Here is a 13970-nt window from a genome sequence, read left to right on the forward strand (position 1 = left end):
AGGGCACAAGTAATCCCCAAAGCTCAGGGGGCAAACACAAAAAGTGGCTCCCTTGAGTTCAGAGGTCAGGTGGCTCTCCTCCTGCAGCAACTCAGGAATCCAGTATGCTTCCCTCTCACAGATCTGCCATCTGGAAGTTATTTGCTAACAGCCCCTGATGAGAGAGCAAAAGTGTGAAGAGCTCACACCTGCTCTAACACGTTGAACTGATAGCAACCATCACTTCCACTCACATCCATATTGGCAAGAACTCAGTCACATGATCTCACCCTAGCAAGGGCTACTGGGAAACGGAGTCTTCCTGTGCACCCAGGAAGAAGAAATGGCGTAGTGAATGGGAAACAATCCCCAGGCCCCGTGTAAGTAGAAAGCAATTGTCTTCATTGTGTTTAATTGTACTAAGGCCTATCAGGAGATTCACAAAGCTTCATAAAACCAACTTTTTTTTTTTTTTTTTTTGAGACAGGGTCGTACTCTGTCATCCAAGCTGGAGTGCAGTGGTGCAATCATGGATCACTGCAGCCTCAACCTCCCAGGCTCAGGTGATCCTCCCACCTCAGCCTCCCAGTAGCTGGGACTACTACGGGTGTGCGCCACGGTGCCTGGCTAATTTTTGTATTTTTTGTAGTGATAGGGGTCTCACTATGTTTCCCAGGCTGGTCTTGAACTCCTGGGCTCACACAATCTACCAGCCTTAGCCTCCCAAAGTGCTGGGATTACAGGTGTGGGCCACTGCACCTAGCCTCAACCCTCTTTGTGTAAGACAAGTAACTTTGCTCAAGATGAATCCTTAGTGGACAAAAATTTCCCTCTTGTCAGTTCTCTGCTTATATAGTTGCTTATTTCTAAGTCTGACTCAGGCAAGAGGTTTGGCCCCCCACAAGTAGAAACTAATGGGAGTGTTGTCATTGGAACATCTGCACGTGAAAATGTGTTGGTGGTAAAGGGATGGGAAACGTGTGTTGCCAAGGAGTTCCCAGCACCTGAAAGAAGCAGAAAGTGTGTGGCAATTAATTGTCCTATAAAGGTTGGAAATTGTATAAAGCAAAAAAATTAAAGTTTAAAAAATTTTAATAATTATTTTAAATACCTGAACAAGTCCCCAGAATAAAAACTTATGGTTGTCTTAAGAAACACCCTTGCAGTAGCAGCCTTTGTTCCTTGGAGAGATTCAACCTGGTCCCAGAGAGTGGCCTGCTTCTCTGTGCTGTGATGCCAACCAGAGATGAAGCTATGGAGAACAAATGATAAAAACTGGTGCCGACGCGGTGGCTCACGCCTGCAATCCCAGCACTTTGGGAGGCCGAGGTGGGTGGATCGCCTGAGGTCAGGAGTTCAAGACCGGCTTGGCCAACATAGTGAAACCCCGTCTCTACTAAAAATACAAAAATTAGCCGGGCGTGGTGGCAGGCACCTGTAATCCCAGATACTTGGGAAGCTGAGGCAGGAGAATCGCTTGAACCTGGAAGGCGGAGGTTTTAGTGAGCCGAGGTTGTGCCACTGTACTCCAGCCTGGACAACAAGATAGAGACTCCGTCTCAAAACAAAAACAAAAACAAAACTGGGTTGGCATGATAAACAGAGCCCACACAGGCCTTCAAGAGGGGCCTGAGTGTAAGATGAATATATTCTTTTAAAATGATTCAGGAGGAAGAGTGTGAGAATAGTATCTTTTGGTCTGCCCAATCATTTGAATTACGTTACAGAGTTGGCACATTTTTGAGGCCAAGAGCTCACTGTTTTATCTCCAAGCATAGTTTATAGAGGAAATGAGTGGTGGCAAATGTAACAAGAGATTTGCATAAACCACTACACAGATTATTGTTTAGCTATATATATATATATATATATATATATATATATTTTTTTTTTTTTGAGATAGAATCTTGCTCTGTTGCCCAGGCTGGAGTGCAGTGGCACGATCTCAGCTCACTGCAACCGCCGTCTCCTGGGTTCAAGCTATTCTCCTGCCTCAGCCTCCAGAGTAGCTGGGATTACAGGTGCCCGCAACCACACCCAGCTGATTTTTGTATTTTTAGTAGAAACGGGGTTTCACCATGTTGGCTAGGCTGGTCTCGAACTCCTGACTTCAGGTGATCTGCCTGCCTCGGCCTCCCAAAGTGTTGGGATTACAGGTGTGAGCCACCACACCCAGCCAGTAAAATATTTGTATAGTGTATAAAGAACCAGGAGCTGCGGTACTTACATAGGAGAGAATGAAAGTTGGAGATAAAATGTGGTCACACTAAAATGGGTGGATGTTAATCCTGAGGTCAGAATGCAGAAGTCAATTCACTGGGATAGTAAACTTGGTCCTAGTAATTATGCATTTAGAGACCCATCCAGTTTTAGGAGAAAAATACAGCTGCAGGTATGGTGCCCTGCACTCTTCCAAGAAGTGCCACTGCCCTTTGGGGAGTGTTCAGGGTAGTGTTGCGCAGAGGAGGCATTCCTTGCCAGCACCCCATGGTAAAAATGCACAGGGCTTATTGAAATAATTTTTTTTTTTTTTTTGAGACAGAGTCTCGCTTTTGTTGCCCAGGCTGGAGTACAGTGGCACAACCTTGGCTCACTGAAACCTCCACCTCCCGGGTTCAAGCGATTCTCCTGCCTCAGCCTCCCAAGTAGTTGGGACTACAGGCGTGAGCCACCACACCCAGCTAATTTTTGTATTTTTAGTAGAGACAGGGTTTCACTATATTGGCCAAAGTCGTCTCAAACTCCTGACATCAAGTGATCTGCCCATCTCCGCCTCCGAAAGTGCTGGGATTATAGGCGTGAGCCACTGCACCTGGCCTGAAAGAAACTTTTAAGCAGAGAAATATTGGAAACACACACAATCCTCTGAGCTCTGCTTATCCCCTGGAGAGGTGAGTTTAGGGCAGATGTAGTGGGTTTGGGAGCCTCAGAGGGCGAGACCTGTCCTACCCACGCCCAGATATTCATAGGGAAGGGAGCAGTCTGTGATGCAGGACCTTCCTGGTTAAGTAAATAGCCTTGTTTTATTTCTTCTTTCTAAGACAATTAGGACATTATGCCAAGTGATTGAAATTTATTTGCATAGGAACATTATATTACTTGTGAATACCACTAGGAGAATGAAGGGGCAGTGGGGCTGTTTGGGTTGAGAAACTGAGACTCTTTTGTGTGATGGAACAAATACACTGTTCTGGAAGAAGAAGGAAACTCAGATCTTTTGCTGGCCCTAATGTTGAGCAGCTGAGTGACCTTGGGCAAGTTACTTCATCTCTCCAGGCCCCCATCTCCTTGTTTTTGGAGTGTTGAGGTTACATTATTACATCACTTTGTAGAGCCTTCTCATTTGGGACTTTGTAATCCATGAGGGAAACTGTCTGCAAGCCCCAAAGCCCTTAATCTTGATTGAAATATGGTCAAAAATAGATCTGGAAGTAATTTTAAAAAGCAATTTAAAATGTTAAATATGATGTATTAGACTTACTGAAAAATATGACCAGCAACTTTATGTTCTCAACTTTTTACCAAACTCTTTGAACACTATTTGTTTTTACAAGAGAGAAGTCTTATAATAAATGAGCAGAGCATCTGAAGACTAATCACACCTCTAGAATTACCTGGAGATGACAATTGCAATTGTTTTGGTAACAAAGAATCCTCTCTGCTCTTCTGCCCTAAATGATAACTCCACCTCAGTTCCTCATGGTGTTTAACAAAAGTCCTTACCACTTTCAAAGGCCTCTCTCACCAGCCCTGGCATTTTCTCTGTCTGAAAAGAAGCCAGCAAATTGTTTTACAAACTCCTGCAATGGTACTTCTTAGAGAAAGCAACATGAAGCAGCCCAGTCTCACTTGGTGAAATTTGCAGCATGGAAGATCCTGGCCAGTGGGAGACATGGAACTTGTCACAAGTTGGGCAGGAGTTATCAATATCCTGTAGCTGGGTGGGAGTCATTTTATCCTGTAGCTGGGCAGGATTAATCAATATCCTGTAGCTGGGTGGGATTAATCGATATCCTGTAGCTGGGCGGGATTCATCAATATCCTGTAGCTGGAAGGGATTCATCAATAACCTATAGCTGAGTGGGATTCATCAATATCCTGTAGCTGGGCGGGATTCATCAATATCCTGTAGCTGGGTGGGATTCATCAATAACCTATAGCTGGGTGGGATTCACCAATATCCTGTAGCTGGGTGGGATTAATCAATATCCTGTAGCTGGGTGGGATTCATCAATATCCTGTAGCTGGTCGGGATTCATCAATAACCTATAGCTGGCTGGGATTCGTCAATATCCTATAGCTGGCTGGGATTCATCAATATCCTGTAGCTGGGTGGGATTCATCAATATCCTGTAGCTGGGTGGGATTAATCAATATCCTGTAGCCGGGCGGGATTCATCAATATCCTGCAGCTGGGTGGGATTCATCAGTAACGTATAGCTGGGTGGGATTCATCAATATCTTGTAGCTGGGAGGGATTCATCAATAACCTATAGCTGAGTAGGATTCATCAATATCCTGTAGCTGGGCGGGATTCATCAATATCCTGTAGCTGGGCGGGATTCATCAATATCCTGTAGCTGGGTGGGATTCATCAATATCCTGTAGCTGGGGGGGATTCATCAGTACCCAAAGCTGGGTAGGATTTATCAATATCCTGTAGCTGGCTGGGATTCGTCAATATTTTATAGCTGGTTGGGATTCATCAATATCCTATACCTGGCTGGGATTCATCAATACCCTGTAGCTAGGGGGATTCATCAATATCCTGTAGCTGGCCAGAGGAAAACCTCAAGGTTTTTGGGTTGGCTGCTTCCAAAATGTAGGCCCTCGAGTAAAGAACCTAATTTTATATGAAAGAGACAACTGCTGCTGACCAGGTGGCTGCTGAATAGATGTGTCTGATCCATGCAGCTTAGTTGAAAAACAAGTTAAATGAAGTAAAAAAAAATCTCTTTGGGAGAGAGAACAACGTAGGCTGTGTTGGGGTCCTAAGCGGAATTTCACTCAGCAGGAGCAACTGTTTCATCAGAGAAAGGATTATGGAGCTCTTGAGAGAGGTTTCCAAGAAACAGAAAAATAGTCCCAATTCAAGTTCGGTAAAGAATGAGGTGTCTGTCTGTTGGCCGCTGAAATACCGAGCCCGAGTGAAGCCGAAAAGTGAGGGAGGAGATGAATGCGCTGTAAGAGGCGGATTCATCGGAGGAGAAAATAAAGCAGTGTCATTAACACCAAAGGGCGTAGGGACAGAAGGAACATCACGGTGGGAGGGCAGAGTGGAGATTTGTGGAGGTGGGAGGGTCCCCAGCTCGCCCTTGTTGGTCAAGTTTAAATGAAGGCAAAGTTCTTTCCATTCAAACTCTTGAGTGTGGATACAATGCCACAGTGAGTAACGCCGGGAGTTCTGACTTCTGTTCCGTTTAAGTTCAAAAAGAACCTAAATGACGTTGTTGGGAAACTTAGGAGTCAGGAAACAATGCTTTAAAATGCACGGATGTAGAAATAAGGGCCTAGAGTCACCCAGACATCTTTCATTTCTACAGCCCAGAAATCTCTCCTTTCTACAGCCCTATAAATTATTGAGGGAGCCCCTTCTTGGACAACAAAAACGATGTAATAGGATCCTTTCAAGCTCATAATTACCTCAGACATCCTTCTTTAGTCAGGAGAAGACTTGGGTTTCGGTTCTCCATCACAACTCCGTGTTTGAAAACATTCCAGTAATTTGCGAATGCAATAATCCAAGAGATTTTCATGCTGTGCTTCACCACTCATTACATAGACTATTGAGCTCTTGTGTTGAATATTTTATTTTAAAGGACTGTGCTTTTTTTCGTTTTGCTGTTTCACTTTTTTTTATTCTGAAAGTAGCACATGCCCATTGCAAAACAACCACCCCCCAAGAAAAGCAACGAAGCGCCCAATTTAAAAGGTTATTGTCACCTGTCCCACGCCAATACACTATCAGGGTTCAGTGTGGACCATTCCAGACCATTTCTTTGCATATATAGACCCAAAAACATGGAGCTCTTTTTCCCCTAAGCTTTGAGATACAAAGTTAAAACCAACATTTATGCATGCCTTTGTGTTGAGCCATATTTGATAACTAAGTCCTTGTTTGACCCATGATCTAAACTGGAAAGCTTTCCCTCAGGGAAAACCACCCCACTGAATGCCACATGCAGGAATCAGAGCTCTGTTTTTACCTCCTTCCAATCCCACAGCTGTTGAAATGATCATACTTGGAATCCTATAATCAGTCATGGAAGGGAACAGAGATGGTGTTGGGCTCAGGAAACCCCGATACCCTGAAATATGGCACATGGGCATGCGGAATGCTTTGATTTAAAGAAAAAGGGGAAAGCCTCAGAAATAAGCCTCAGAGGCTGGGCGCCATGGCTCACACCTGTAATCCCAGCACTTTGAGAGGCCGAGGCGGGCGGATCACCTGAGGTCAGGAGTTTGTGACCAGCCTGGCCAACATAGTGAAACCCCGTCTCTACTAACAATACAAAAAATTAGCCAGGCATGGTGGCGCGAGCCTGTAGTTGCAGATACTCGGGAGGCTGAGGCACGAGAATCACTTGATCCTGAGAGGCAGAGATTGCAGTGAGCCAAGATCGCGCCACTGCACTCCAGCCTAGGCGACAGAGCAAGATTGTTTCAAACAAACAAACAAACAAACAAACAAACAAACAAACAGAATTGGTAGGGTTTGAATAATCATCAGAAAGGGTGCAGAAGCAAGAAAGAGTATAGTGTATAATATATTCACAGACAAGGATGGGTCGAGATTTATGGGAGTGGATTGTTCAAGTCAGGGAGAGAAATGAACCTGAGTGGACAGAGGGAGGCAGGTGATGGAAGCCGCAGAAAATCAGGCAGACAGTGGATGCTTTGTGATGTGGGAAATGGCCATGGAATATCCTCAAGCAGATATTTAGGAAGTATTAGTGTATCCGTGCAGTGGAGGAAGGATCACCTTCTGACTTATGGATACACATGCAGAAGTGAGCAATACGTATACCTCACATTTCTGTGGGGTTTTTGTTTGTTTGTTTGTTTGTTTTTGAGAGGGAGTCTGGTGCTGTTGCCCAGGCTGGAATGCAATGTTGCGATCTCGGCTCACTGCAAACTCTGCCTCCCGAGTTCAAGCGATTCTCCTGCCTCAGACTCCCAAGTAGCTGGGATTACAAGCATGTGCCACCATACCAGGCTAATTTTTTTGTTTGTTTTTTTTTTGAGACGGAGTCTAGCTCGCTTGCCAGGCTGGAGTGCAGTGGCGTGATCTCGGCTCACTGCAACCTCTGCCTCCTGGGTTCAAGCAATTCTCCTGCTTCAGCCTCCTGAGTAGCTGGGATTACAGGCATGCACCACCATGCCCAGCTAATTGTTGTATTTTTAGTAGAGATGGGGTTTTACCATGTTGGCCAGGATAGTCTCGAACTCTTGACCTCAAGTGATCTGCCCGCCTCAGCCTCCCAAAGTGCTGAGATTACAGGCATGAGCCACAGCGCCCAGCCTTGTGGGTTCTTAAGTATCTTCTAAGTTTCATTTGGTGATTAACTAAGGAAGGAGCAAATGTGAGGGAGAAAGTCGAGGGTTTGGTTTTGTTCTTTTAATTTTTTTCTCAGCCTCCCAAGTAACTGGGATTGCAGGCACACACCACAGTGCCCAGCATTTCTTTCTTATTATTATTTTTTTTTGAGATGGGGTTTTGCTTTGTTGCCCAGGCTCCTGGCCTCAAGCAATTCTCCTGCCTTGGCCTCCTAAAGTGCTGGAATTATAGGCATGAGCCACCACACCTGGCCAAGGGTTTGGTTTTGGACATGATAAATTTGAGGTGCCTATAAGATATCTAAGTAAGGCTGGGCACGGTGGCTCACGCCTGTAATCGCAGCACTTTGGGAGGCCGAGGCAGGTGGATTGGCTGAGCTCAGGAGTTCGAGACCAGCCTGGGTGACACAGTGAAACCCCGTCTGTATTAAAATACAAAAAATTAGCCAGGTGTGGCGGCATGTGCCTGTAGTCCCAGCTGCTTGGGAGGCTGAGGCAGAAGAATTGCTTGAACCTGGGAGGCAGAGGTTGCAGTGAGCTGAGATCACACCACTGCACTCCAGCCTGGGCAACAGAGCAAGGCTCTGTCTCAAAGAAATAAAATAAAATTAAATTTATAAAAGGCTGGGAACAGTGGCTCATGTCTGTAATCCCAGCACTTTGAGAGGCCGAGGTGGGTGGATCACTTGAGGTCGGGAGTTCGAGACCAGCCTGACCAACATGGAGAAACCCCATCTCTAATAAAAATACAAAATTAGCCAGGTGTGGTGGTACATGCCTGTAATCCCAGCTACTTGGGAGGCTGAGGCAGGAGAATTGCTTGAACCTGGGAGGCGGAGGTTGTGGTGAGCTGAGATCGTGCCATTGCACTCCAGGCTGGGCAACAGGAGTGAAACGTAGTCTCAAAACAAAACAAAACAAAAAAACAACAACAAAAAAATCTAAGTGAAGAAAACAAGTGAGTGATTGGTTATACAAGTCTAAGAGCAGAAAGAGGCCAAGGCAGGAGAGAACGGGGTACAGAGAGTGTTTAAATGGAAGTTAGCGAGTCGAGGGACCCTCTCAGTTTGCCCTGTTCCACCTACAATGGTTAGCAGCAGAGTGGAACCTGAAAATAATGTCTGTTTCCCTTGACCAAAATCCATCTCTTAATATCCAAATCCATGTTTCTAAATGTAGCTAAGCCCCAGGCCCACAATGCTACCTCTCAATTTTATTTTTCACTTGTTTGTCTTGCTGAAATGTTTAACTCAATGATAATGAAAATTCTATGTATCAAAATGTGTAGGATACATCTAAAGTCTTGTTTAGCGGAAACTCAACTTGGAATGCTTATATTAGAAAAGAGGCTGGGTGTGGAGGCTCACGCCTGTAATCCCAGCACTTTGGGAGGCTGAGGCGGGCGGATCACTTGAGGCCGGGAGTTCAAGACCAGCTTGGCCAACATGGTGAAACCCCGTCTCCACTAAAAATACAAAAATTAGCCAAGCATGGTGGTGTGCACCTGTAATCCCAGCTACTCAGGAGGCTGAGGCGGGAGAATCGCTTGAATCTGGGAGGCAGAGGTTGCAGTGAGCCAAGATGGTGTCACTGCACTGGAGCCTGGGGGACAGTGAGACTCTGTCTCAAAAACAAAAAAAAGAGAGAGAGAACAGAAAAAAGAAAAGAAAAGAGGAAGTCAGCCAGGCACAGTGGCTCACACCTGTAATCCCAGCACTTTGGGAAGCCTAGAAGGGAGGATCACTTGAGCCCAGGAGTTCAAGACCAGCCTGGACAACACGGCAAAACCCTGTCTCTACCAAAAATACAAAAAATTAGCTAAGCATGGTGGCTCGTGCCTGTAGTCCCAGCTACTTGGGAGGCTAAGGTGGGAGGATCACCTGAACCTGCGAGGTCGAGGCTGCAATGAGCTGAGATCACACCACTACACTCCAGCACAGGCAACAGAGTGAAACCCTGTCTCAAAAAAAAAAAAAAAAAAAAAAGGAAAGAAAAGAGGAAGGGCTGGAAAGTCAACAACCTAAGCTTTCAGCTTAAGAAATTAGTAAGCAAACAGCAAATTAAATCCAAAGAAAGCTGAAGGAGAAAATAATACAGATAAAAGCAGAAATTAATGAAGTAGAAAATAAGCATAAAAATAGAGGATGAACATGTTATCTGTATTATTATTATTTCTGTTTTTTTTGTTTTTTGTTTTTTGTTTTTTGAGACAGAATCTCACTCTGCTGCTCAGGCTAGAGTGCAGTGGTGTGATCTTATCTCACTGCAACCTCCATTTCCCAGGTTCAAGTGATTCTCATGCCTCAGTCTCCCAAGTAGCTGGGATTACAGGCATCTGCCACTACTCCGGGCTAATTTTTATATTTTTAGTAGAGACAGGGTTTCACCATATTGGCCAGGCTGGTCTCGAACTCCTGACCTCAGGTGATCCGCCCACCTCGGCCTCCCAAAGGGCTGGAATTACAGGCATGAGCCACCGCACCTGGCCTGTTTCTGGTTCTTTGAAGAGACATTAATGATAAACCCTTGGCAAGACTGATCAAGAAAAAAGAGAGAAAGTCTTAAGTAAATTTCACTCCTAAGTAATCAATATTAGGAGTTTGCTAGGGCTGCCATAACAAAGTACCCCAGGCTGAGTGGCTTAAACAATGGAAATTTATTTCACTTTTTTTCACTTTTTCTTTTCTTTTGGGGTTTCAACATGTGGCCCAGGCTGGTCTCGAACTCCTGAGATCAAGCGATCCGCCCACCTCAGCCTCCGAAAGTGCTGAGGCATGAGCCATCGCACCCAACCAGAAATTTATTTCTCTTAGTCCTGGAAGCTGGAAGTCTGAGATCAAGATGTGGACAGGTGTATTAGCTTGTTCTCACACTATTATCAAGACATAGCTGAGACTAAATAATTTATTAAGAAAAGAGGATTAATCAGCTCATGGTTCTGCAGGCTGTACAGGCTTCTGCTTCTGGGGAGCCCTGGGGAAACGTACAATCATGGCAGAAGGCGAAGGGGAAGCAGGCACAATCTTCACATGGTCATAGCAGGAGCACAAGAGAGCAAGGGGGAAGTGCTAGACACTTTCAAACAACCAGCTGTCCTGAGAACTCTGTCCAGAGAACAGCAAGGAGGATGTCCGCCCCCATGATCCAGTCACCTCCCAGCAGGTCCCTCCTCCAACACTGGGAATTACAATTCGACATGAGATTTGGATGGGGACACATAGCCAAGCTCTATCAGCAGGGTTGGTTTCTCCTGAGGCCTCTCTCCTTGGCTTGTAGATACCATCTTCTCTGTGTGTCCTCACAGGGTCTTCCCTCTGTGTTTGTCTGTGTCCCAATCTCCCCTTCTTATAAAGGTACTTTAATTCCCTCTTTGAAGATCCAAATACAGTCAGGTACTGAAGGTTAGGACTTCTATGTACGAATTTTGTGGGGACACAGCTCGGCCCATCATATAAACAACCGTGCAGCTCTTATAGACATTTAAAAGGTTAGAAATTTGTGCCAAAATTAAAATTAAGAGGAAGTGGACAATTTCCTTGGAAAACACATATCACCAATCTATCACAAAAAGAAATATAAAATCTGGCTGGGCGCAGTGGCTCATGCCTATAATCCCAGCTCTTTGGGAGGCCAAGACAGGTGGATCACTCGAGGTCAGGAGTTAGAGACCAGCCTGGCCAACATGGTAGGCTTTGGTAGGGTTTTGGTAGAAACCCCATCTCTACCAAAAAATACTTTTGCTTGAACCCAAGAGGCAGAGGTTGCAGTGAGCCAAGATTGTGCCACTGGACTCCAGCCTAGGCAACAGAGTGAGGCAAAAAAAAAAAAAAAGAAGAAAGGAAGGAAGGAAAGAAGGAAGGAAGGGAGGAAGGAAGGAAGGAAGGAGGGAAATAAATACAAAATCTGAATAGCCTATAACTGTTAAAGAAATCGAATTCACAATTTTAAATTTTTCCACAAAGAAAACTCTGGTCCCAGCTGCTTCACTGATGAGTTCTTCTAAACAGTTAACAAAAATATAATGCCAATCTTACCCAAATCCTACCTGGAAAGAGAAGAAAATCAAGGGAGGGAAGGGGAGGCATTCTGTAATTTGTTTTATGAGACAAGCATGACCTTGAAACCAAAACCCGATAGGGCATTTCTAAAAGGGAAAATTACAGCAGGCCAGTCTCTGAAAAATGTTAGCAAAGCAAATCATTCAATAATAAATACAAGAATTTACCACAATGAAATTGTGGGTTTTACATTTTTTAATTTTAATTTTTTTTTCTTTTTTTTTGAGATGGAGTCTGGCTCTGTCATCCAGGCTGGAGTGCAGTGGCGCGATCTCGGCTCACTGCAACCTCCGCCTCCTGGGCTCAAGCGATTCTCCTGCCTCAGCCTCCTGAGTAGCTGGGACTACAGGCACGTACCACCAGGCCTGGCTACTTTTTGTAGTTTTTGTACCTATGTCCTCTATACTATAAAATATCATTGAAAGAAATTTTAAAAGACTTAAATAGCTGGAGATCCATATATAATGCTCATAGATTGAAAATATGCAAAAGTTTCAGTTCTTCTCAAATCAATGTATTGTTCTAAAATGCTTAAAGTTTGTTTTTTGAGACAGGATCTCACTTTGTCATGCAGACTGGACTGCAGTGGTGCAATCTCGGCTCACTGCAGCCTTGATCTCCCAGGCTCAAGCAACCTTCCTGCCTCAGCTCTCTTGAGTAGCTGGGACTACAAGCACGCACCACCATGCCTGGTGTAATTTTTGTATTTTTTGTAGAGACAAGGTTTCGCCATATTGCCCAGACTGGTCTCAAACTCCTGAGCTCAAGTGATCTGCCCGCCTCAGCCTCCCAAAGTGCTCGGGTTATAGGTGTAAGCCCCTGCTCCTGGCCCCTTTGCAAGTTCTTAACTTTAATGTGGTCCAGTTGATCAATTGTATGGTATTTTTTGCCCTACTTAAGAAATATTTTCTTACTTCAAGGTTATAAATATATTGTCCTATGTCAACTTCTAGAAATTTTATTGTTTTACTTTTCATGTTTAGATGTGCTATTTTTCTATAATTTGAGCGAGACCCTGTATCAAAAAAAAAAAAAAAAAAAACAACGTGTGAAGGACTTGTATCCAGATACACAACACATCAACATATGCTTATAAATCAATAAAGAAGACAGACAACTAAATAGAAATATGGGCAAAAGGCATGATCAGGCCCTTTACAGAGGAGATACTGAGACAGTTGATAAACATGAAGAAGTGCTTAACCTCATTACTCGTAGGGAAATGTAAATTATAACTGTCATTAACAACCAGTGTACATCTACCAGATGGCTGAAAGTAAAAGACAAGGCCAGGCACGGTGGCTCATACCTGTCATCCCAGCGCTTTGGGAGGCCAAGGCGGCAGGATCACTTGAGGAGTTCACAACCAGCCTGGCCAACATGGCAAAACCCCATCTCTACTAAAAATACAAAAATTAACCGGGCGTGGTGGCATGCACCTGTAATCCCAGCTACTCGGGAGGCTGAGGCAGGAGAATCGCTTGAACCCAGGAGGCAGAGCTTGCAGGTTACAGTGAGCTGAGATTGTGCCACTGCATGCCAACGTGGGCAACAAAGCAAAATCTTGTCTCAAAAAAAAAAAAAAGAAAGAAAGAAAGTAAAAGACGAACAATATCAAATTGTGTAAGCGAGTAAGCTACACTCACTGCTGAGAGTGTAAATTAGTACAACCCTTTGGGAAACTGACATTACCTGCTAAAGTTGAACACGTATTTACCCCCAAATGCCACCTCTTGGTATATGCCCAACAGAGATGCCTACATCCATAAACCAAAAATGTGTATAACAATGTCCATAGCAGCATTATCTATATCAACCCTAAAGAGTGTTAAGCCTCAAGCCCAAGTGTCTGTCAATAGGAGGATGGATAAATATCGGAAGGTATATTCATGTAATGGAACACACACAGTTATGAAAATGAACTAGAACTACATGCAGCAACACAGAAGCTCTCAAAGTCAAGATGAACAAAAGAAACTAGACACAGGAGAATGCATACTTCTGATTCCATTTATATACAGTATTTTTTGTTAAGGCTAAACTAAACCTTACAGTTCAAGGATGGACACTGTAGCTTTCAGGATCGCTGTGTGGATGGCACAGTTTCCAGTCCACCAGGAAACATGGAGCTTGCATCAGAGTTGTTCAGTTGCACTGAACACACTGCTTAGGTCTGTTGCCTAGATGGCAGGGTGAGACTCCATCTCAAAAAAAAAAAAAAAAAAAAAAAAGACACCAGAGAGCTTGCTTGCTCTCTCTCTCTCTCTCTCTCCCCCTCTGTCTCTCTACCATGTGAGGACACAGAAAGAAGGTAGCCGTCTACAAACTAGGAAGAGAGGCCTCACCAGAACCTGACCATGTTGACATCCTGATCTT

General features: G+C 44.4%; 1 annotated feature.

Annotated features, from left to right (window-relative positions):
- Positions 10456-10656: a silencer, noted in NCBI's record as "peak46 fragment used in MPRA reporter construct". NCBI's record gives its function as "represses an SCP1 promoter by STARR-seq MPRAs in K562 erythroleukemia cells {active_cell/tissue: K562}" and the evidence as "EXISTENCE:reporter gene assay evidence [ECO:0000049][PMID:32103011]".

Source organism: Homo sapiens, chromosome 1, assembly GCF_000001405.40.
Source record: "Homo sapiens chromosome 1, GRCh38.p14 Primary Assembly".
Taxonomy (NCBI): domain Eukaryota; kingdom Metazoa; phylum Chordata; class Mammalia; order Primates; family Hominidae; genus Homo; species Homo sapiens.